This window comes from Homo sapiens, chromosome 4, assembly GCF_000001405.40.
Source record: "Homo sapiens chromosome 4, GRCh38.p14 Primary Assembly".
In the NCBI taxonomy this organism is placed as follows: domain Eukaryota; kingdom Metazoa; phylum Chordata; class Mammalia; order Primates; family Hominidae; genus Homo; species Homo sapiens.
The window spans coordinates 69,069,652-69,095,228 of NC_000004.12; the positions used below are offsets into that span (position 1 = coordinate 69,069,652).

A 25,577-nucleotide genomic window follows, 5' to 3' on the forward strand; every position below is an offset into this window, starting at 1 on the left:
AATGTAATGTAGTTATCAATCATTTATTATGATCAGTCTCTGAAGCCATTGGACCAAAAACTCTCCTGGATTGAGTTTGTCATGCACCACAATGGAGCCACCTACCAACAGTCTCACCTGGTTCCAGTACTGCTCTATGGATGTGCTGGACTGCATGGCAATTGTTACTCTCTTTGTCATAATATGTTGCTTGATTATCAAAAGTTGTTAAGGCGAGAAAGAAAGAAAAGAGAGTACATCTTTTTGAGATCTAAGGCAGGCAGGCATGATACAGAAAATCATGCCATTTAATGTCACCACTATGTATCAAGGTATGGAGTAAATTCTTTACTACATTTTTCAAGACCTGTGCCTTCTTGATTTGTTTGAAATTTTTAATCTTTGTTAAACATTATGTAAGGTACAATTTTAATTTCAGAAAACCTGTAATAATTCAATTTTAATGCTTATCTACGTATATTTTTTAAACTGAAAATAAAATGAGATTCACTAGAAACTCAGTCTGTTTACTTGAGAAAGGCAGAAAGATTAGCTATACTGTGCATTTCAAAAAAACCTCTTCTTTTATATATATATTTATATAATATATCATAAATTTATATATTTTATATATTATACTTTTATATATAATAAATATACTTATATATTGTATTTTTATTGTTTTATTTCAACTTTTATTTCAAGTTCGGAAGCACATGTGCAAAATGTGCACGTTTGTTACCTAGATAAAGAACCCTCTTCCATATAAACAAATACAATTATATGGAATATATGTGTCCCTGTCAGAAAAAAAAAAAAGAAAAACAGAGCAAGATCCTTGTTAAAAATTGCAAGACAAATTTTATTTTGACTACTGAAGTAGGGGACAGACACTACAGTATGAACTGAGCTCAACTCCAACTAAGACAAAGGTAACTGAGACTTTTAAAGAAAATCCATTTATGAATAAAAAGGAAATATGAGGAAATAAAAATAAGGAAACCAAAAACAGAGTAGTGGGCTACATGGAAATAGAAAATTACATAAAAATTAAGTGTAAAATGATTATTAGACAAGGTGAGTTAGACAGGGTAATTTTGCAATTTGGCAGGATCACATTTTATTGAGCAAAGCCTCAGCATGAAGGCTAGGGTCACCTTCTAGGACAAATCCATGACATAGTGCACATATAAGCTGGACTAAACTTGGCCAACTCTCTTAGCGTGGCGTTTAGGCAAGTTCTTCATGTTAAATAGATGTTTCCAATTCATATCCTTCATGAAATACAAAATATTTTCTCTTGAAAATTTTCTTTGTTTCAAAAGTCTAGATGGTCATAACTGGCTTCCTGTGTAAAACTATGCAAACTAGTAAAATCTTTGGTTAGAAAGACTAAAGATGTTTTCCACATGAGGCCTTGAATACACTTGAGTTACTATTTTTGCTTTAGTAATGACCATTTGTAATTGGATGGTAATACACAAAAGAAAAGAAGAGGCTAGTTCCCTCTAGTTAGGAATTATAGATATGGTCCAGCAAGTTTAGTCCAGTCCCTCTAGATTATAATGTTACATGATTTCTCTCTTGAAATATGATCTCACCTTTCTTGCCCTCACCTTGTCAAGTATGATATTTCCAACCACTTTAATATCTGGAATACTGAGGATATACAAACTAGAAATGTATACTATTATTTTGATTATTCTCTCCTCGTAACATATTGAAAACTAAATTGTAGGTGGAATAAAGAGCCAAATACCATGTGCAACAGTTTTTAAAATCTATGCTGGAGAAAACATAGTAAATGGCAAAAGCTCTCCAATACCTACATTCAAATATTGTTCATTACAGCCTTTGGACTCAGAACAAGGTTTGAAAAGCAAATAACAGAGAAGAAGGGAACAAACTTAAGAGCTGTTCTTCCATCTGACAAGAGATGTGTCTAAAACAGTTGAATGAAAGAGAGGCATAATGATTATTTCTCACACATGAAATAGATTTTTATAGTACTCTTCTCTATGAGAAAATATTGTAGCAATAATTGATAATAAAATGAATTATTATAATGTCTAGAAAAGAGATATACACTAAATATTTTACTTTACTAAACTTTGAACACATAGTCTTGCCACTAGAAAGAAACAAATAGCCAAGTACAAGAAAAAAAGTGTAACGTATTAGTACTTTTTATAGTAATGTCTTCTTTATAAAAGGGGAAAACTTATAGACAAATATTAGTCTGGGGAAATTATGTAGCTCAACATGTACTACACAAACTAAATTTTAGTCTATTTATATTTTTTTATGAAACAACTTCTGAAAATGCATCAAGGACCTTGCCAAAATAGATCTTCTTTGCAATTCATAGACCATATAGCTAGATAAAATAATCTTTGTCTATTCATGAGCTATCAAAGAATACTTTCATTTGTTTTAATATTGAGAAATCTTTTCACATAAAGTACCATGTACACATATAGTTAGGAAAGTATGTGAATATGAAGGTTTACTTGATAGAGACTCATAAAATCACATAGTATATTAAATTCCAAAAATTTCAATATTGTGCATGTGTCTGTTTCTTTGAGATTGATTCTAAAAGCTTTTAAATATCTCAGCAGTTAACAAAATTTAAACACAGAAACTCTAAGTAGTCACATGGAATCACTGAATTGAAATAACATTCTTCATCCTCATGAAAATCTTTTTCTATAAAATTTTGAATATGCTGCTTAAAGACTGGAATATGAAGCACTACAGAAGTTGGAGACGAAAATGAAATAATTGTGAATTTAATGATGAAAATAACATATGAAGCTGAGTCTATCGATGTCAAGGACAAATGCTTTATGTATAAGTTTTCTGAATTAATATCTATGCAGAATGCAATGTTTCTTAAAAGATAAAACAAATATGCTAATTAAAAGTTTCCTTCTTATATTCTTGAAGTATATTCTTTAATAGTCTTAAATATATTCTTTAACATACAAATTCTTAAAACCCAATAATAATTGTAAAAATTACTGAATAACAGTAAAGAGCAGGGTCTTGGGGGGGTTGTGTCTTCTGGCATCTACCACCTCACAACCACTCCAGTGTTCTTTATTGATGAAGCTTAACATTCAACTAGCTGGCAAAGGAGGAATATTTACAGGATCCTGATTCAGTATCATAAAGTTATATTTGCACCCAGGGGACAATAAATTGAAAACTTGTAAAGCATAAAATTTCAATTTTTTCATTTGTTATCATTATAAAAGTTGTGTTCCTTCAGACACTGAATCTTGGCAAAATTTGGATGAGTAGGAGACATGGCTTTCTTTTGAAAATAACATTTTTGAAAGTGGGGGAATGTAGAGGTTCTGAGAAAGATGAGCTTAGAGTTGGCCCACTGGGTTCTCCACCTCCCTGGTGGTCACTTCCCTAATGTCCAAATATATAATAAGAATTGACATACTAGCGGGTTGGATTTTTGATTTCAGTAGTAGCTAGCTCAGACTTGGTTAGAGGGAGTTTTGTGATGCTGAGCCCATGAATACCCTTAGCCTATCACCACTCTATTCATACTCCCAACAAATCAACACTGGAGTAGCCAGGTACTTGATGCTTTACCCAAAAATGGATATTAACTTTCACCAATTCAAAGCATATCAAGATGTCTCATTGAGTTCATTGCAAGTTCCTAATTATTAGTCTGATTAATCACTTTTTGGATTTATGATCCAGTGAGAATTTTGTTCATGTCCTGCAGTGATTTTTTCAAGTTACATTTTTCTATAGATTCTTCTTGGTATAGAGACTTTATTTAAGGATGAATTTGTTTTTCATAAAAGATCTAGAATCCTGATTCATCATGACAGTGGCTCAGAGTGATTGGCAAAAAACAAGGTTGATAAAGGTCAGATAAACAAGTAAAAATTAATGAATAATCCTCGGTCAAATAAGGTGAACTTTGCAGTTGGATTAATCCACCATAATGAGGACATGCAGGTTGCAAGAGTTAAGTCAGAATGAAATACACTTGAGACAAACACATTGAATAGGTCATAAATGCTTGGACAAATCATATAATGAGTAGCTAAGATCAAGAAAACAACTAGAAACAAGAGAGCTTTGGAAAAAAAACAGGTAATCAGGAAATTTCTAATGTAAGGTGTTAACAAGCAATGCTTTTAGGTTTTAATCTGTTTACTGACAATTTCTAGAGCATTAGATAATTCCTCTTTTGGGCTCTATCAGTCAAGCATTTGGTTTCATTTTATTTCATGTAATCAACCTTCATTTCATATATAATTAGGGAGCCCATTTCTGATTTCAGAAATATCTGATTATTTTTGTATTCATCCTTCTCACCTCATCCCATTCTTGTTTTATATTAGTGACTCTTCCATCTCTGAACATTTGAATCATACTTATTTAAAAATCTCATTTTGTCTAGGCATGGTGGTTCACATCTGTAGTCCCAACACTTTGGGATGTTGAAATGGGAGGATTGACTCCAGGAGTTTGAGATAAGCCTGGATAACATAATGAGAGCTCATCACTACCAAAAATTAAAATACTAGTTGGGTGTGGTGTCATGCACCTGTGGTCCCAGCCACTTGGGGGACTGAGGTGAGAGAATCACTTGAGCTTCAGAGGTTGAGGCTCAAGTGAGTTGTGATCATACCACTGCACTCCAGCCTGGACAGCAGAGTGAGAGAGTCACTTGACCTTGGTAGGTTGAGGCTGCAGTGAGCCCTGAACACACCACTGCATTTCGTTCAGCCTGGACGATGGAATAACACCTTATCTTAAATATATATATATATATATAAATTAAAAATCAAAGTCTCATTCTGATTGTTTCCCCTATTTATGATCCTTGGGTGAAAATCTTCCAACTGCGTGTCACTGGTTATTTCCTCATATGGTTTTCTTGAGGAAATCTTCAACATGTGTTGATTTCTGCAACATCCCTCATATTCTCTAATGTAAGAGAATCCCTTCACAATATTTAAAATTGCCTCTGCTGTAGTCTAGGGAGATCTCCAGTTACACACACATTTTATTATTATTATTTTTTAACAAAAGTCACTGCACTCTGTAAATTTTTGTTCCTTGCTTCAAGGTACTATGTCTCATTTGGTTTCCTCCCAAAAGTCACTTTTTCATAGTTTTCACAAGCATCTATTCATAGAATTCGTTCCAATTTTAACAACTGGTGGACATTCTTCCTTCATTTTATACTAGGCTGTATATGTCTTTTGACATCATTTTTTAATGCATGTATATGTGTCTGGAGCAGAAGTGGGAAAAAGTTGAGTCGCTTATGATCACCTCACTATACTATGTTGTTTAATTTATTTGAGGCTAGTTTTTAGGACACCTATTTCATATATGAAAATCTTTGAGTAAATATTTTAAAATGCTTAATGAATGTTTCAGTAGTTGTAAAAATATAAATTCACACAATTTTTAGGATTTTATTGTGTTTTTAATGTCCATATGTAATGAATTTCATAGTTGCTTAGAGGCTTCTGTTGACCAACTCAATAGCTTAAATTTGTGGAATTTTCAGACATCACTGCAAATACTTTGACATTCTTATTAAACCGTGGTCCCTCCCCTTGAAATGTGGCAAGGCTTGTGGCTTGCTTAGCAAATAAATTATACTGAAAGTGACAGCATAATTTGGAAGACTGTGTTAGAAAAGGCAGTACATTATCTCTGTCTCTGTTCGTCTGTCTGTCTGTCTCTGTCTTCTACTTATACCTTTTCCTCTCTTTCTCTCTCCTTCTCCCTCTTTCCCTTTTTCTCCCTCTACACACTTTGGAGCCCAGTGTCACACACAAAGTCCTGACGATAAAGGACAATTTCAAGGAGAGATGCAAAGAGGAGACTAAAGTCATGATTATTCAGTCTCACAGGAATTTGAGTCTTTTGACATCAATCACCAAGTATGTAAATAAATGACCTTCAGATGATTACATCCCCAGCCACCATATGAAAGTATCAGCCTGAGAAATACTGTGTATGAACCACCTGACTGAGGCTACCCAACACTCAGGCTATGGGAGTTGTAATAAAACGCTTGCTGTTTTTCAAAATCCCCACAATTGAGGGTAGTTTGTTATAAAGTGATAAATAACTACAAGGATATTTCTTTATTGTATTATGTTTATTATACTTTAAGTTCTGGGCTACATGTGCAAAATGTGCAGGATTGCTACATAGGTATACATGTACCATTGTGGTTTGCTGCACCCATCAACCTGTCACCTATATTAGGTATTTCTCCTAATGCTATTCCACCCCTAGCCCCCCTCCCCATAACAGGCCCCACTGTGTGATGTTCCCCTCCCTGTGTCCATGTGTTCTCACTGTTCAGCTCCCACTTATGTGTGAGAACATGCGGTGTTAGATTTTCTGTTCTTGTGATAGTTTGCTGAGAATGATGGTTTCCAGCTTCATCCATGTCCCTGCAAAGGACATGTACTCATCCTTTTTTATGTGTGCATAGTATTCTATGATATATATGTGCCACATTTTCTTTATCCAATCTATCACTGATGGACATTTGGGTTGGTTCCAAGTCTTTGCTATTGTGAACAGTGCCACAATAAACATATATGTGCATGTGTCTTTATAATAGAATGATGTATTTTAATCATTTGGGTATATGCCCAGCAATGGGAATGCTGAGTCAAATGGTATTTCTAGTTCTAGATCCTTGAAGAATCACTACACTGTCTTCCACAATGGTTGAACTAATTTACACTCTCACCAACAGTGTAAAAGCATTCCTATTTCTCCACATCCTCTCCAACATCAGTTGTTTTGTGACTTTTTAATGATCACCATTCTAACTGGCGTGAGATGGTATTTCATTGTGGTTTTAATTTGCATTGCTCTAATGATGAGTGATAATGAGCTTTTTTTCATATGTTTGTTGGCTATGTACATGTCTTCTTTTGAGAAGTGTCTGTTCATATCCTTCACCCACTTTTTGATAGGGTTGTTTGATTTTTTCTGGTAAATTTGTTTAAGTCCTTTGTAGATTCTGGATATTAGCCCTTTGTCAGATGGACAGATTAAAAAAATTTTTCCCATTCTGTAGGTTGCCTCTTCACTCTGATGATAGTTTATTTTGCTGTGCAGAAGCTCTTTAGTTTAATTAGATCCCATTTGTGTATTTTGGCTTTTGTTGCCATTGCTTTTGGTGTTTTAGTCATGAAGTCTTTGCCCATGCCTATGTCCTAAATAGTATTGCCTAGGTTTTCTTCTAGGATTTTTATGATTTTAGGTCTTATGTGTAAGTCTTTAGTCCATCTTGAGTTAATTTTGTATAAGGTGTAAGGAAGGGTTCCAGTTCAGTTTTCTGCATATGGCTAGCCAGTTTTCCCAGCACCATTTATTAAATAGGGAATGCTTTCCTCATTGCTTGTTTTTGTCAGTTTTGTCAAAGATCAGGTGGTTGTATATGTGTGGTGTTATTTCTGAGGTCTCTGTTCTGTTCCATTGGTCTATATATCTGTTTTGGTACCAGTACCATGCTGTTTTGGTTACTGTACCCTTGTAGTATGGTTTGAAGTCAGGCAGCATGATACCTCCAGCTTTGGTCTTTTTGCTTAGGTTTGTCTTGGCTCTGCAGGCTCTTTTTTGGTTCCATATGAAGTTTAAAGTATTTTTTTTTTCCAATTTTGGGAAGAAAGTCAATGATAGCTTGATGGCAATAGCATTGAATTTATAAATTACTTTTGTCAGTATGGCCATTTTCACGATATTGATTCTTCCTATCCATGAGCATGGGATGTTTTTCCATTTATTTGTGTCCTGTCTTATTTTCTTAAGCCGTGGTTTGTAGATCTCCTTGAAGAGGTCATTCACATCCCTTGTAAGTTGTATTCATAGGTATTTTATTCTCTTTGTGTCAATTGGGAATGGGAGTTCACTCATGATTTGGCTCTCTTTTTTTTTATTGGTGTATAGGAATGCTTGTGATTTTTGCACATTGACTTCGTATCCTGAGACTTTGCAGAAGTTGCTTATCAGCTTAAGGAGATTTGGGGCTGAGACAGTGGGGTTTTTCTTAACATATAATCATGTCATCTGCAGAGACAATTTGACTTCCTCTTTTCCTATTTGAATACTTTTTATTTCTTTATCTTGCCAGATTTCCCTAGCCAGAACCTCCAATACTATGTTGAATAGAAGTGGTGAGAGAGGGCATCCTTGCCTTGTGCCAATTTTCAAAGGGAATGCTTCCAGCTTTTGCCCATTCAGTATGATATGGGCTGTGGGTTTGTCATAAGAAGCTCTTATTATTTTGAGATATGTTCCATCAATACCTAGCTTATTGAGAGTTTTTAGCATGAAGTGATGTTGAATTTTGTCAATGGCCCTTTCTGGATCTATTGAGACAATCATGTTTTTTTTGGTTTGTTTTTTGTTTTTTTTCATTGGTTCTTTTTATGTCATGGATTCCTTTTTTTGATTTTTGCATGTTGAACCAGTCTTGCATCACAAATATGAAGCTGACTTGATCATGGTGGATAAGCTTTTTGATGTGCTGCTGGATTTGTTTTGCCAGCATTTTATTTAGGATTTTCAAATCCATCTTCATCAGGCATATTCGCCTGAAATTTTCTTTTCTTGTTGTGGTTCTGCCAGGTTTTGGTATCAGGATGATGCTAGCCTCATAAAATGAGTTAGGGAGGACTCCCTCTTTTTCTATGTTTGGAATAGTTTCAGAAGGAATGGTACCATCTCCTCTTTGTACCTCTGGTAGAATTCAGCTGTGAATCCATCTGGTCCTGGACTTTTTTTGGTTGGTAGGCTATTAATTACTGCCTCAATTTCAGAACTTGTTTTTTCTTTCTCCTTTCTTGATGCTTTTAGGGGTTTAATTATGGAATAAGATGAATTCAGTTGACTATCTTTGATTCTAGTCCACTCCTGGGTTTAGAGGAGCCCCTTCTGATTACTTTCTCCATGACTGTGTGTATTTTGTTAAATGTTCTGGCCATGGGTCTTCCTCAGGTAGGAGCCATAGTTGGCACACAAAACCATACCTTTGACCTATCAGCCCTAATCTGCTGTTTTTGTGCTTCCTGAAGTTCAGATGAAAGTGAGAACGCTAGGTGGGTTGGAAGCTCTTGCAGATGTGATCCATCTGGCTATGGAAGGTGGGGACAAGTGAAGTTATTTGCCATGCTGTTGGTGTGTTACTGGGGCAATAGGAGTCTGCACCGCCTGGTGACAAGTGGCAGTGGTGGGTGGAATGTCACACATCCTGCCATACTTGGGTTTCCTGGGATAACAGGAGGCTGCACACTCTACCTGAACTCACACAAAGCAAGACTACTGGGCTGGAAGCTCTAGGAGGTATTACCTGCCTGGTTACCAGTGACAGGTTCAGGTGGAGCATGCTCTGCTGTTCAGGTGTTTCCTGGGACAATAGGAAGCTGAGCCCTCCAGCTGAGTTCACACAAAAAGGAGGCCACTTGGCTGTAAGCTCTAGCAAGCGTTGCCCATCTGGCTAACAGCAGCAGAATGGGTGAGGTTTTGTGCCATGCCATCAGGGTGTTTCCTGGGACAACAGGAAGCTGCACCCTTCTGCTGCATTCAGACAGAAGTGAGACTGCTGGGCCGGAAGCTCTAGCAAGGATGATAGCAATACAAGTTGATTCTTAATTAATTAAAGCACATTGAGAAGCTGATCCAAAAAGACAAACACTATTAAATCTCTCAGACTTTAAAAATACAGTCATATTCCAGGAGTTAAAGGGTCCAGCTCACCAACATGGCACATGTATACATACGTAACAAACCTGTACGTTGTGCACATGTACCCTAGAACTTAAAGTATAATAAAAAATATATATATACATAGTCATATTCATTTTTCACAACATAGCATATTGTGACAGGTCTTTCTTGATTTACTAAGTTTACTTATTATCCTGTGAAGTATATTTTCATACCTGAATTTTACCTAGCTTCAGCCTTCCATTAACGTTGCATTCATTCTTAACATTTGTAAACCACCATATTTTCTAGAAATTGGTGACTATATTCTAAAATCATTGTAGTCACGAAATCATATGAATACCTGCTTGGCCTCTCCGGATAGGGTCAAGTTTCTCACATAAGCAAAATTTACTTATTTGGCATATACAATGTGAACATAATCTTAAAACCTGACTTTGGCTTTTGGTGTTATTAATAAGGTTCTTAATCCAATTTTTGTTTTTTTTTTACAGAAGTGATACAGCTATACTGTAATCCTAGCATTCCTGAGTTTTGTATATAGCTTGGAAATAATATTTATTGTCAAATATTTTTAAATACTTCACTTTCTTCTAATATATTTATTAACCTTAGCATCTTTTTTTGCATTTTTTCCCTGTGAAGTGTCATTCACTCTATCAATTACTATCAGAAAATCTGTTATCATCTTGCCTATTTATGCAAAGCAAATGATTCTCCAACTGTTGACTCTAATCCTTCCTCTCAAATAGGTTCTGCTAAATAAATGACCCTGAGTCTCTGAGACATTTGTTGTATCAAAGCACAACAACATTAACAGTAAAACAAAAAATATTGTGAAATATGAAATATCTGATCCTTTCTCCCTCTCTCAAAAATTCTGTCTGCCAGGTGTGGTGGCTCACACCTGTAATCCCAGCACTTTGGGATGACAAGATGTTTGGATCACCTGAGGTCAGGAGTTTGAGACCAGACTGGACAATGCGGTAAAACTCCGTCCCTGCTAAAAATACAAAAATTAGCCAGGCATGGTAGCACATGCCTGCAATCTCAGCTACTCAGGAGACTAAGGCACAAGAATTGCATGAACCAAGAAGGCAGAAGTTGCAGTGAGCTGAGATCGCAGCACTACACTCTGGCCTGGGCAACAGAGCAAGACTCCGTCTCAAAAAAAAAAAAAAGAAAATCTATCAATGACTATACTTCCAAATTTGCTTGTGGTTCTCTTCTTAGCAAAATGAGACGATTAAAATTGATCAGGGTTTTAAATAGTATTCCTTTGACTCGCTAAGCACCTATTGAAAAGTCTCAGCTGAAGCATAGCTTCATCTGAAAAAAATTAAATGCAATTGACTTTCTGTACTAAACATTCTTCTTTACACACTCCTCACCATGGAATATCTCTAATGGAGCCCTTTCTTTAATATAGAAATAAATGCGATTCAACTTATTTAAATATAAACGTGAGCTACTTGAGCATAGGAACTACATCACATTCTCTTTTATTCTCTACATACCATTAATGAGTGGATTAGGTAAGTGCTGTAAATTGTGCATTAAATGTGTAACATAAAAAAAACACAGAAGCATAGATAGCTGAGTAGATAGATAAATTATTATCTAATTCATATCTTGAAACTCTATCACTTTACCCAACAATGAGTCTCCAAGGAAGTTATAATTATTTACATAGAGAAATATTATTACTAAATTAATCACTGAAGAAAAACAAATTGCAGAAAGATTGTAATTTTCCCAAATGTAACATTCATTTTTTGTATCATATTTTACCTAATGGCATTATCAATGTTTTGACCATTCAGGTAGAAACCATATCAGTGTCTTTGTTGATACAACACTTTCAGCATCAGATGTAGTCAGTAATCACAAATTCAAATTATATTCCTCACATTTACTATTATCAATGCAAGCCACAGCCCTATAATCTCATACTTGGTTTCCTAATATACACTTGTAATTATTTTTCCTACATTTACACTCTTCTGTTTACTTGCCAATCTTTGTTTAGCTGTCAGAGTGGCTTGCTAAAGAAACAAAACAAAAATGACCTTTTGACTGGCTTTCCTTAAAACTAGATTAAATTATTTTGCCTGTAAATTAAAATAGAAACCTGTATACATCACACAAAGCTACACAAGACCTCCAATTTCAACCAAAATTTTTCTTTTATAATCTCTGGTATACAATTTACTCAAAAATTCATACTTGTGGGAATAATTTCCAAACATCAGGACTTCTCTCCTTCTGTGATTTGTTTCCTTTAGCCACTCTGTCTAGATTCTACCAAAGCTTTCATCTCACCGTATTATGTGATCTGTCACACCAGCTTTTTCTGATTGCTCCATAGATGGATAATGGTTTTCTCTGGGCTTCTGATCATATTGCACCATTTACATCACACATCATAATATTCTTCAGAGAACAAGCATACCTTATTTTATTGCACTTTGTTTTATTATGGTTTACACATATTTAGGTTTTTTTGTTTCTTTTTTACACAAATTGTATGCTTGTGGCAATTGCACATCATGCAAGTCTACTGACATAATTTTTAAAATGGCAAGTAACAAATTTATATCTCTGTGACCCATTTTGCTAATTTTCACAAAATTTCAAGGTTTTTCGCTACTATTATATCTGTCCTGGTGATCTGTGATTGGTGATTTTTCATATTACTGTTGTAATTGGTTTGCGGCATCACAAATTATGCCCATATAAGATGTCCAACTTAATAAATGGGTGTCTCCTGAGTGCCCTACATACCAGTTGTTTCCTAGTCTCTCTCCCACACCTCAGGCCTATTTCCTGAGACACAACAACATTGAAATTAAGCCAGTTAATAAACTTACGAAGGTCCCTAAGTAGAAGGGAGAGTACCACATCTTTCACTTTAAATCAAAAGCTAGAAATAATTAAGGAACATGAGGAAGGCATGTTAAAAGCTCAGAAAGACTTAAAGTTAAGCCTCTTGCATCAAATAGCCAAGTTGTGAATTAAAAAAAAAACAAAAAAGATAAAACAAAGTTCACGAAGGAAATTAGAAGTGTTACTCCAGTGAATGCCCAAATGGTAAAAAAGTAAAACCGCATTATCATTCATGTGAAGAAGTTTTAATCTGGATATATCAAACCAGCCACAATCACGCCTTAACCCTAACCCTAATCCAGAGCAAGACCCTACCTCTTTTTAATCTATGAAGGCTGAAATACATGAGGGAGCCAAAGAGAAAAATGTGGAAAGCTAGCAGACATTGGCTCATGAGGCTGAGAAAAAAATAAATCTATCTCTATAACAAAGAAGTACAAAGTAAAGTAGCAAGTGCCAATGTAGAAGCTGCAGGAAATTATCTAGACAACCTAGCTAAGATCATTGATGATGGTGATTACACTAAACAACAGAATTTGAATGTTGACAAAACGGTCCTTTATTGAAAAAATATGTCATCTGAGACTTTGATAGCTAAAGAGGGGAAGTCAATGCCTGGCTTTAGAGCATTAAAAGACAGGCTGACTCTTTCGTTAGTGGCTAATTCAGCTGGTGAGTTTAGTTGAAGCCAATGTTCATTTATTATTTTGAAAGTTCTAGAGTCCTTGAGAATTATGAGTTGAGAGCCCTTGAGAATCTGCTTTGCCTGTGTACTATAAATAGAAAAACAATGCCTAGATGACAGCACATATTTTAAAAGCATGACTCACTGAATATTTTAAGCTGACTGTTGAGATCTACTCCTCAGAAAATAAAATTTATTTCAAAATATTACTGCTTAATGAAAATGCACATGGACACCCAAAAGTTCTGATAGGAATGTACAAAGAGATTAATGTTGTTTTCATGCCCACCAACATTGCATCTATTCTGCAGCCCACTAATAAAGGTGTAAATTTACTTTCAAGTTTTATCATTTAAGAAATACATTTTATAATGCTATTGTTGTCTTAGATTGTGATTTCTGTGATTAATATGGGCAGAGTAAATTGTAAACCTTCTGTAAGTAATTTAGTGTATTAGAAACATTTCTATTTGAAATATTTCTGATTCATAGGAGCAGGTCAACGTATAAATATTAACAGGAGTTTGGAAGAACTTGATTCCAATCCTCATGGATGACTTTGAGGAGTTCAAGACTTTATAACTACAGATGTGTTTTATTCCATTTCTTTCATCAATGTTTTATCATTTTTATTGTAAAGATCTTATATTTTCATGGCTAAACCTATTCCTACACAATTTCATTTTTGTAACTTTGTAAATGTGATTTATTTTCTTTGCCTTTTTTAAACATTTAGATATTGGAATACGGAAACACAACTGATTTTTGGGTGATGATTTAGTATCTTCTGCCTTTACTGGATTTGTTGATCAATTTTAAGAGCTTTTGATGGAGTCTTTAGGATTTTCTGTGTATAAAATCATGTCATATGCAGAGAGGGATAATTTGATTTTCTCCCTTCCAGTGGATGACCTTTCTTTTTTCTCTTGGCTACTTGCTCTGGCTAGAAATTCTAATGATATATTGAATAAGAGTGGTCAACGTGGACATCTTTGTCTTGTTCCAGATCTTAGAGACAAAGCTTTCCAACTTTCCTTTTTTACTCTGATGTTACCTGTGCATTTGTCATATATGGCCTTTATAAGTTTGAAGTGTTTTTAGTATACTTGTTGAAAGTTGAAAGTTTTCATCATGAAGAAATGTAAATTTTATCAAATGCTTTTTGTGCATCTACTGATAAAATTATATGTTTTTTCTTAATTCTCTTGATATAATATATCACATTTATTGTTTTGCATATGCTTAACCTTCTCTGTATCCCTGGGATAAATCCCAGTTCCTCATCATGTATAATCTTTTTGATGTGTTGTTGGATTTGGTTGGCTAGAAGTTGAGTATTTTTGCGTCTATGTTCATCAGGATTATTGGTCTATAAATTTTCTCTCTCTCTAGCTCCTTCTTTCTGGTTTTACTATCAAGGTAATCATACTCTTGACAAATCATTTTTAAAGCATTTACTTCTCTTTAATGTTTTGGAAAAAATATTTGGGAAAAAATGGATTAATTTTTTAATTATACTTTAAGTTCTTGGATACATGTGCAGAACATGCAGGTTTGATACATAGGTATACATGTTCCATGGTGGTTTGCTGCACCCATCAACCAGTCTCCTAGGTTTTAAGCCACACACGAATTAGGTATTTGTCCTAATGCTCTCCCTCCTCTTTCCCCCCAACGCACGACAGGCCCCAGTGTGTGATGTATCCCTCCATGTGTCCATGTGTTCTCATTGTTCATCTTGCACTTAGCAGTGAAAACATGAAGTGTTTGGTTTTCTGTTCCTGTGTTAGTTTGCTGAGAATGATGGTTTCCAGCTTGGTCTGTGTCCCTACAAAGGGCATGAACTCATTCTTTCTTATAAATGCATAGTATTTCATGGTATATATTGCCACATTTTCTTTGTCCAGTCTATCATTGATGGGCATTGGTTGGGTTGGTTCTAAATCCTTGCTATTGTGAATAATGCTGCAATAAAAATACTTGTGCATGTGTCTTTAAAATAGTATGACTTGTAATCCTTTGGGTAGATGCCCAGTAATGGGATTGCTGGATCAAATGGTATTTATAGTTCTAGATCCTTGAAGAATCGCCACACTGTCTTCCACAACAGTTGAACTAATTTACACTCCCAGCAACAGTGTAAAAGCATTCCTATTTCTCCACATCCTCTCCAGCATCAGTTGTTTCCTCACTTTTTAATGACTGCAATTCTAACTGGTGGGAGATGGTATCTCATTTTGGTTTTGATTTGCATTTCTCTAATGATAATGATGACGAGCTTTTTTTCATGTTTGTTGGCTGCATAAATGTCTTTTGAGAAGTGTCTGTTCATATCCTTTACCCACTTTTTGATGGGGTTGTTTGTTTTTGTCTTGTAAATTTGTTTAACTGTTTTGTAGATTCTGGATATTAGCCCTTTGTCAGAGGGATAGATTGCAAAAATTTTCTCCCTTTCTGTAGGTTTCCTGTTCAGTCTGATGATAGTTTATTTTACTCAGCAGAAGCTCTTTAGTTTAATTAGATCCCATTTGTCAATTTTGACTTTGTTGCAATTGCTTTTGGTGCTTTAGTCATGAAGTATTTGTCTATGCCTATGTCCTGAATGGCATTGCCTAGGTTTTCTCCTAGGGTTTTTATGGTTTTAGGTTTCACATATAAGTCTTTAATCCATCTTGAGTTAGTACTGAAACTATCAGTTCATGGTTTTTTGTTTTTGTTTTTGTTTTGTGAGTTCTTATTACTGCTTCAGTCTTGTTACTCATTATTTCCCTGTTCATGTTTCTATTTATTTTTAATTCAATCCTGGTTGGTGGTATGTGTCCAAAAACTTTCCTTATCCTTTAGATTTTTTAATTTGTTGGCATGAACTTGTTTATAATAATATCTTATAATCCATTGTATTTCTGTGTATCAGTTGTTATGTATCCTTTTCATCTCTCATTTTATTTGAGTCATCTCTTTTTGTAGTTAACTTAGCTGAAGCTTTTTAAATTTTACGTATTCAATAAACCGTTTTGTCTTGTTGATTTTTAAATATTTTAAAAATCTCTATTTTTTCTCTATAATCTTTATTATATCCCTTTTCTACTATTTTTTAGTTTAGTTTCTGTTTTCAGATTTCTTGAGGTACTATAGGTTGTTTATTTAAGATATTTCTGCATTTTTAATGAAGACATTTATTGGCATATATTTGTTGTTTTAGAACTTATTTTTTCTATATCTTCTAGGTTTTGTTATATTGTCTTTCCATTTTTATTTTTGTCATATATTTTAAAATAATTTATCTATGGACTCAATGGTTGTTTATGAGCACATTTAATTTATGTATAGTTGTACATGTTCCCATATTCTTTCTTTTATTGATTTCTAGTTTTATTCCATTGTGGAAAAAAATTGACACCATTTTGATTTTAAAAAAATTTAAGACTTATTTTGACCTAAAATATGGTCTATTCTAGAAGATGTTTCATGTGCTATTGAGAAGATTACATACTCTGCAGCTGTTGGATGGAATGTTCTGTAAATGTCCGTGTTAGGTTTATCTTACCTAGAGTGCAGTTTAACTCTGAGGTTTTTTCATTGATTTTCTGTCTGAATTATATTTTTATTATTGTAAGTAAAGTGCTGCACTCTTCTACTATTATCATATCACAGTCAATCTCTCTCTTCAGCTCTATAAATTTTGCTTTATATATTTGGATGTTCCAGTGTTATGACCATATATATTTACAATTTTATTCTGTTGCTCTATGGAGCTCTTGATTATTATACAATGGCCAACTTCTTATCAATCCTGACTTAAAATATATTTTAACTAAGTATAGCTACTACTGTATTTTTTTTATTGTTTACAATGACATGAAACAAATTTTTCTATTTCTTTTCTTTTAGTCTGTGTACACCTTCATAGGTGAAGTGAGTTTCCTGTGGCAACAATACAGTTGAGTTTTAATTATTTATCCATTCAGTCACTCTATGTCTTTTACTTGGATCATTCAATCAATTTCATTTGTAATATTACTAATAGATAAAGATTTACTACCTCCATTTTGTTAATTGTTTTCTAGGTTAGTTTCTGTATATCCTTTCTCTCTCGCTCTGTCTCTCTTTCTCTCTCTCTCTCTCTGTCTCTCTCTCTCTGTGTCTTCCTTTCTCTCTCACTCTGTCTCTCTCTCTCTGTCTCTCTCTCTCTGTGTCTTCCTTTATGGTTAAGTAATTTTCTCTAGTAATATGTTTTGATTCCATGCCATTTGTGTTTGTTGTGTCTAAGTTTGGCTTCTTAGTTAATGAAAGATTTACAAAAATATTTTATTGTTAGATATTTAAAACTGGTGACAACTTTGAGCACAAAGAAAAATAAACAGAACTCTGTATTTTGACATAATTTTGTCTTCCACATATTGACTTTTTCATGTCTCAATTTATATCTTTTCATATTTCCATCTCTTAATTGTAGTTATGATTTTCTTTAATAACTTTGTCTTTTTATCTTCATGATAAAGATATAAATGGCTTATATACCACAATTATAGTATTAGAGTATTCTGAGTTTGTCTTTATAATTGGTTTTACTACTGCTTTTTATGCCTTCAGATGTATTCTTATTACATGTGAGTGTCCTTTTCTTTCCAATAAAACAATTCTCCTTTGTATTATTTCTTGTAAGATTGGTCTGATGTTTATGAATGCCTTATCTTTTGTTTCGGAAAATGTTATCACTCTTTCAGGTTTGAAGAATTGCTTCGGTAGGCTCAGTATTTTTGCATGGCAGATTTTTTTCAGCACTTTAAATGTATATCTTATTGTCTTCTTGCTCACAAGTTGATTTATTTATTTTATTTTTTTTTGAGAAATTTGATGAAACTTGAATTGGGACATTGTTTAATATGGTATAAACCTTTTCTTATACTGCTATCAATATTCTTTCTTTGTATTTGCCTTTTAACAATTTAAATAGGATGTGCCTTTGGGAAATACTCTTCGGATTAAATTTGATTAGGGTACATGGATACTGTCATCTTTCTCTAGATTTACAAAATGTTCCATCATTATTTTATTATATATGCTTTCTAGACTTTTTATTTCTTATCTCCTTTAAGAACTCCTATTATATGGAGGTAGTTTTCTTAATAATGTTTGATACTTTCCATATGCCTACTTCACTAATTTTAATTATTTCTCTTTTTTTGCTCTTCTGATTGGGTAATTACATATGTTTTATCTTTAGGATTGCTGATTCCTTACTCTGTTTGACCAAGTCTGCTGTTGAAGTTTTCTACTGAGTTTTTCAATTCACTTCACATATTTTTTATTAATTGGATTTCTTTTTATTTTTAAAACATTTCCACTTCTTTGCAAAATTTATCATCATTTTCCTGGATTATTCTCTAAAGTGTGTTTTTTTCAACTCTCTATTCATATGTGCTGTGATTTCTGAACTTTTAAAATAGGTGTGCACTGAATTTCTTGTCAAAAATTTTACGGAGCATCTGAACCTTAATTCTGCACTGTAACTTAAAACTAGACTTGCAGTGATTTCTAGGTCTGTGAGATACTTAAGCAATAACTGGAGCTTAATCTCAAATGTTATACTTGTTTGCAGGTCATAGAAAAGCTCCGTATGAGTATCTGGGAATTATAAAAATACCTGCCAAAGATTCAGGCCTTCCTTTGGATTTTGGCCCCTGCAGTGTTATGGAACTGGTCAGACTCCTCAGCGTGGCATTCCTGCTAATAGGAACACCAAGCAGTTGCTGAGATGTGTGTGCCTGTCACTGTGATTAGTACTTCCACTCTTGTTTCCAATTCACCCCAGGTCATTCAACTCTATAGCCACTCCTAATGCCTCTCCTGAGGTAGGACAAAAGTGGGCTTCCCAAACCAAAAAGATTCACAGATCCATGAAGAAACTGAACATTCACTTCAAATTTCCTCCTCTGATCTTGGCAACTGCAGGTAAAATAAAGTTCTGTCACAGTGGTGTCTTCTTGGTGTGTGGAAGGGGTGCCATAATCCAAAAAATTATTCATTTTACAGATCATGAGTTTTCCCATGTCTATGAGTCTTGGGATTTTCTTCTTCTCTTTTTAGCTCTGGTGAATTCAGTGTGGCTTTTTGTATTTACATAGTTACTAGCTCTATTTTTGTGTGGGAATTAATGTTGGGAGGTGTTATTTCATCATTTTACTGACATCACTCCTCAAGGAATACTTTTATGAGTTTGCAAACCATTATGATTTTAGAATTAGCTATCTACCAAATATTAAAAGAGCTGTATATTTATCATTTAAGTGTTCTGTATAATTATTTGTGTACCGTTTCTAGTACATAATTACTATGTATTGAAGCTATGTGTTTCCAACACAAACTTTCTTGTAGAGACTGGCAGTACATGGCAGAATATAGGGACAATATAACTATACATATCACAACTTCTTCAGATTTTTATTAAAGCATAAGTAAACTATATTATTCTACATGATATTGCATCTTTATGATGCAGAAATTATTTTCTTTGTAGGAAATGAAAGCATTTGTCCAGATCTCTGGCAAAGATGGCACTGTGGTGTTTTCTCTGGGGCCAGTTGTGCAAAACCTTATAGAAGAGAAGGCTGATCTCATTGCTTCAGACTTGGCCCAGATTCCACAGAAGGTGAGTACAACGTCCAATCCTTATAAGCAGCCATTTACACAGTGAAGAAAATGTGGCTTTCCATTTGGAACTTGAATCTCATTTTCTGCTTTGCATTAACAGGCACTACTTCTACATAGAATAATTTAAAGCATTATAGTAGTGTATGTGGGCTCAACTAATCATTTGCCTATGAATGCTTGAAGTTACTTTGGAAATACTTCTCTTTGTTGTCATTTGTTTGTGACAAAATGAAAATAAAATATTAAGTTCCTATCTCACATTTTGAGATTTTAAATCTTAAGTCCTGTGCTGACTACTCAAAAACAACAAATAAAAAAACCCTGAAGTGTACTAACTCCAAGGAACATAAAAAGGGAGGGCTGATATTACAAAGATAGAGAAGAATTATGCCCAAGAATATCCTCAACATATTTGATTGTATAGGAACTCCATTCAGTGTACTTGGGTATAAAAGTAGAAGCTTAGATTCACGTAGTCTTTCTTATGAATTAGACTTTTCAAGAATTAAAAGGCAATTACAATTTTGATATTATAGTCTAGTAGTCAGTTAATTTTAACTTTCTTGTTATTGCAATTCTAGATTTCCACTATTTGGGTAGTACTATTTATGCACTATCCAGTGACTTTTTAAAAATGTAATGTTTAATTAAAGTTCATAAAACTCAATAAAAGCATGTATGCTAATTAGGATTGTGAAATTAGTTTTGCCTATTAAATTGGAATATCTATGTATTCCTATGTTTTCAAATGCAAGATTTTCACATAGCTTTCCCATAAAAAACAAATTATGTGACAAAAGGCATAAAGACAAACAAAATTCAACATTGAACATAAATTCTAAGTAACTTCTTTTTCTTTTTTAATTAAAAATAAATTAATATATAAAATCAAGGAGCAAAGGAGACATGAAAAAAAGCAGAAAGTAAAGACAACTAACTATCCAAAAACAAACAGCAAAGTCTAAAGCAAAGTTTTTCTATGAGGAGAAAAGCATGGAAAAGACTCATCCCCATGATTCAATTACCTCCATCAAGTCCCTCCTACAACATGTGGGAATTGTGGTAGTTATACTTCAAGATGAGATTTTGGCGGGGACACAGATAAACCATATCAGGCCATTATGATCGCCTGTTTTGGTTACAAACACACATTTTTAATAGTCTTTCTAATTTTAAGGTCTTGACTTTACATGCCAATATTAGTCGACACAGTTGCTTGCTAAAGGAAAATCTTGATTTCATAACTGTCATTTTTTAAAAGTTGTGTAAGTAAATTTTGGTCATGTATTAAAATCCAAATCCATAGTATGACAATTAAGACTGCCTAAGGTCTTCATTCCAAATTAACTGTCTTTTTTAATAGCTTGCCCTCAAATTTCTCTGTGATCCATACACATTGGGATGCTCTTCATATATCCATGACCTTTACTCATTCTGTTCTTTATTGGAAAATCCCTTCTTTACCACACACTGCCTAGGTCCAATCAAAGCTTTCATCTCATATCATGTTACCTGCCTAATTAAGTTTTTCTAATTATTTCATGTAGAAGTACTTGTGTTTTTTCTCTGGAACTCTAAACACATCCTGTATTACTCATGTGATTCATATCAAAATAGTCTTTATATTATAGCTATTCAATGTATTATCAGCTAATTAGTCGGGGTCCACATAGGTGAAGCAATGTAAAATATTTGTTTTCCAAAACCACCTTGTACCTTTGGGTTTTGTGTGGAATGAAAGAAAGTGTGTGTATGTTTGTGTTTTGTGTGAATTAGAAACTTTAAAGATTTTGTTTTTTTTTTCTGTCATTGAAAATATAGATTAGTACAGTTATATTTCATGTATTTTTATTTTTTAAAGGTTGGAACAAATTTTTCTGGATACATAATTTTTTGATTGCCGTAATAAACATCAAGTTTCAAAATAAAGCGTGGCCATTCATATTTAATATTTAATTTTTAACATCTGTGTATATTTATTTCAATTCGGAGCCCTGTAAACTCTTAATCTCTGTGAGCAGTGCGTCTGGGAGCTACCATCACAGTTTCTGAGAAGTGGGCTTCAAGTATTCTGCACCTGCAGCTCTGCTGTGCTGGTTGTGCATTCTGTGGGAAAGTCCTGGTTGGCCTTGTGACATGAGCCATTAGCTTAATGTCAAAAACATTCCAGATAAACTCATAGAAAGGGGCCACAAAGTAACAATGTTTACTTACTACAGGCTTTTCTCATTGACTACAAGAAGCCTTCTTCATTGAACTTCAAGGAGGTCCATGTGGCACATGACAAAGATAATCTTGAGAATTCAAATGATGAATTTTTTGACCTAGCTTATTATTTTCTTTTATTTTCTATTTGAGACAAGGTCTTGCTCTGTCACCCAGGCTGAAGTGCAATCATGGCTTGCTTCAGCCTCGAACTCTCAGGCTCAAGTGATCCTCCCCACCAAAGCCTCCCAAGTAGCTAGGACTGTAGGCACACCCCAGCACACCTGGTCAATTTTTTTGTAAAATGTTTGTACTGAGTAGGTCTTGTTATGTTACCCAGGCTGGTCTCAAACTCTTGGCCTTAAATGATCCTCTCATCTTGCCTCCCAAAGTTCTGGGATTACAGGTTGAGCCACTATATTTGGCTTGTAGACCCAGTTCTCAGTATCTTTCCTGGCTTATCATCTGGTAATGGAAGGTAAAACTAAATATATTCTTTAATTGAATTGGGTGGAATTTTTAAACCACTATGTGAGTGTTGTCTACAGTCAGGCACTCATGAAGCAGCTGCAGGAAATGAATCATTACAGAGTAATGGTTTACTGACCCTATAATTTTCTCTGGGGAGCTAGTGGCTGAGTTGCTTGCAGTCCCTTTTGTGCTCACACTTAGGATGCAACAGGGAGTGATGCTTCAGGAAACTTCTAGCTCCACCTTCCTATGTACCTGTGCACATCGTAGGACAGAGTGACCTTTCTGGAAAAAGTAAAATATAAAATATAAAAAGTAAAATATAAAACATAAAATATGAAAAATATAAGTTTTCTTTACCTTTTGTATCCAGGATTATGACTTTCATTTTTGGTAATCATTTTATAGTGAGGCATTAGATAAGTGTCTTTTATTTTAAATGAGTTATCAAAATAAATAGAAGAGAGTTAAATGAAATCTATGTAAATATAAATAATACATTTTTATATAGCTATCCTACATGCAAAACTCTAACAGTGATACCAATGAAAGAATAATCAAAATCTAATTGGGAATAGAAGTAATACATTTCTTAAAATAGTTACACTTTCTTTAGAGTCAGTTAACCATTTTTCTTGATACTTGTTAAGAGTCATGCCAAAAACAATACCCCCACCCCAGAAAAAAAAAAAAAAAACAATATTAATACTTTGGAAGATTTGGAAGACATATGGTTTGTCATACATAATCTCCAAAGCCCACAGGCTGGAATTGCTAAGTCACCCAAACAGCAAAGATGGCGGCCCATATCTCTGTGAGCTCTGTCCCAGGGAGTTTTCAAATCTCTGCTGGCCTAAGAACAATGGTGGAAATGACTGGAGTCCCCTGTTGGGAGGTCCCACCCAGTGAGGTGGAACAGGATCTGCAACCTACTTGAAGAAGCAGTCTGGCCATGTTTTGGTAGAGTAGCTGTGTTGTGCTGGGGAATTCCTTCCTTCTGTGGTCGATTTGGATGCTCCAAAGCTCAAATGCCAGAACAGCTAAGTTGCACAAACAGCAAAGATGGTGGCCCACCCCACGCGGCTGAGAGTTCCATTCCAGGGAGGCCCAACACTGCTATCACGGCTGGTTGAAATTCCAAGCCAGTGGATCTTATCCTGTGAGGTGCTGTGAAAATGGGGCCCGCAGACTGTCACTGCTCAGCCCCCTGAATTCAGCCTCCCACTTTGCAATTCTAACCTTCCACTTTGCAAGAGCTACAGCTACTTTTGCCAGGAAGCCCTGAAAGCCAGAGTATCTAAAGGCATCACGTCTCTACACGTGCCTGAGTGGCTGCTCTGCTGAGACTCCACATACCTTTGTGTGTCAGACTGAAGACCTGGTTAAGTGGGTTCATGAGGGGATCTTGTGACCTGAGGGTTACAAAAATCTGTGAAAGAAGCATGTTATTTGGGGTAGCACATTCACTCACCACTTCCCTGGGTGAGGAAATTTTCCTTGGTTCTGTGTTGATGCCAGGTTGGCAGTCATCCTGCCTTACTTTTCTTCATTCTCTGTGGATCAAGTTGTTTCCTTAAATAGTCCCAATGCGAGTGCCCGTATGTTTCAGTTGAAGGGGCTGTATTTACTCACCCCTTCTGTTCATCTTTGTGAGAGCCATGCATATTACCTACTTCCGGTCAGTCATCCTGGCCACTCCTCCAGCTTAAAATATTTTTAGAGTATATCTCATATTAAGTGTTTTCACTAATACAAGGCATACTTCTGAGATGTTGCAGATTTGGTTCTAGAATACTAAAATAAAGCAAATATTGCAATGAAGCAAATCACACAATTTGTTTTGGTTTCTTTTTTTTTTTTTTTTTTTTTTTTTTTTGAGACGGAGTCTCGCTCTGTCGCCCAGGCTGGAGTGCAGTGGCGCGATCTCGGCTCACTGCAAGCTCCGCCTCCCGGGTTCATGCCATTCTCCTGCCTCAGCCTCCCGAGTAGCTGGGACTACAGGCGCCCGCTACCACGCCCGGCTAATTTTTTGTATTTTTTTTTTTTTTAGTAGAGACGGGGTTTCACCGTGTTAGCCAGGATGGTCTCGATCTCCTGACCTCGTGATCCGCCCGCCTCGGCCTCCCAAAGTGCTGGGATTACAGGCGTGAGCCACCGCGCCCGGCCGGTTTCTAAGGCATATAAAAAGTTATGTTTACACAATGCTATAGCATATTAAGTCTGCAATAATATTAAGTCTAAAAAAATACATGCCTTAATTTAAAAACACTTAATTGCTAAAAAGTGCTAATGATCATCTGAGTCTTCAGTCAGTGCAACTTTTGTTGATGAAGATTCTCATATCAATGTTGATGGTTGCTAACTCATTTTGGTGGTGGCCGCTAGTACTTAGCATGGCTGTGGCAATTTCTTAAAAATAAGACAACAATGGCATTTGCCACATACATTAACCCACCCTTTCACAAAAGATATTTTTAGCATGCAATGCTGTCAGATAGCATTTTACCCATAGAAGATCTTCTTTCAAAATTGGAATTAATCCTCTCAAACTCTAACGCTGCTTTATAAAGTAAGTTTAAGTAATATTCTAAATCTCCTGTTGTCATTCAACAATGTTCATAACATCTTCACCAGGAGTAGATTCCATCTCAGGAAACAAGTTTCTTTGCCCCTCCAAAAGTAGTAACTCCTCACTTATTTGTTTTATCATGAGATTTCATCAATTCTGTTACATCATTAAGTTCCACTTCTAATTATAGTTATCTTTCTAGTTTTATTATATTTGCAGTTACTTATTCCATTAAAGTTTTGTTATAGGACCAACAGTTTCATATGCTTACTGTCCAATAATAGTCCAATTACACTGAGACGTCAGATTTGGCAGCAAAGAAGGAGTTTAATAATTGCAGGGCACTGAGCAAGGAGATAAGAAGAGAACCCTAAATCC

At 34.8% G+C, this 25,577-nt stretch overlaps 1 protein-coding gene across 1 annotated transcript in view; it reads left to right on the top strand.

Moving 5' to 3' along the window:
- Positions 1-25,577, top strand: part of UGT2B7 (UDP glucuronosyltransferase family 2 member B7) — a 61,613-nt gene that overhangs the window by 18,277 nt on the left and 17,759 nt on the right. Inside the window, exon 2 of the mRNA NM_001349568.2 lies at positions 19,821-19,952. The gene's annotated coding sequence lies outside the window, so the exon portion shown is untranslated. The remainder of the gene's footprint in view (positions 1-19,820; positions 19,953-25,577) is intronic.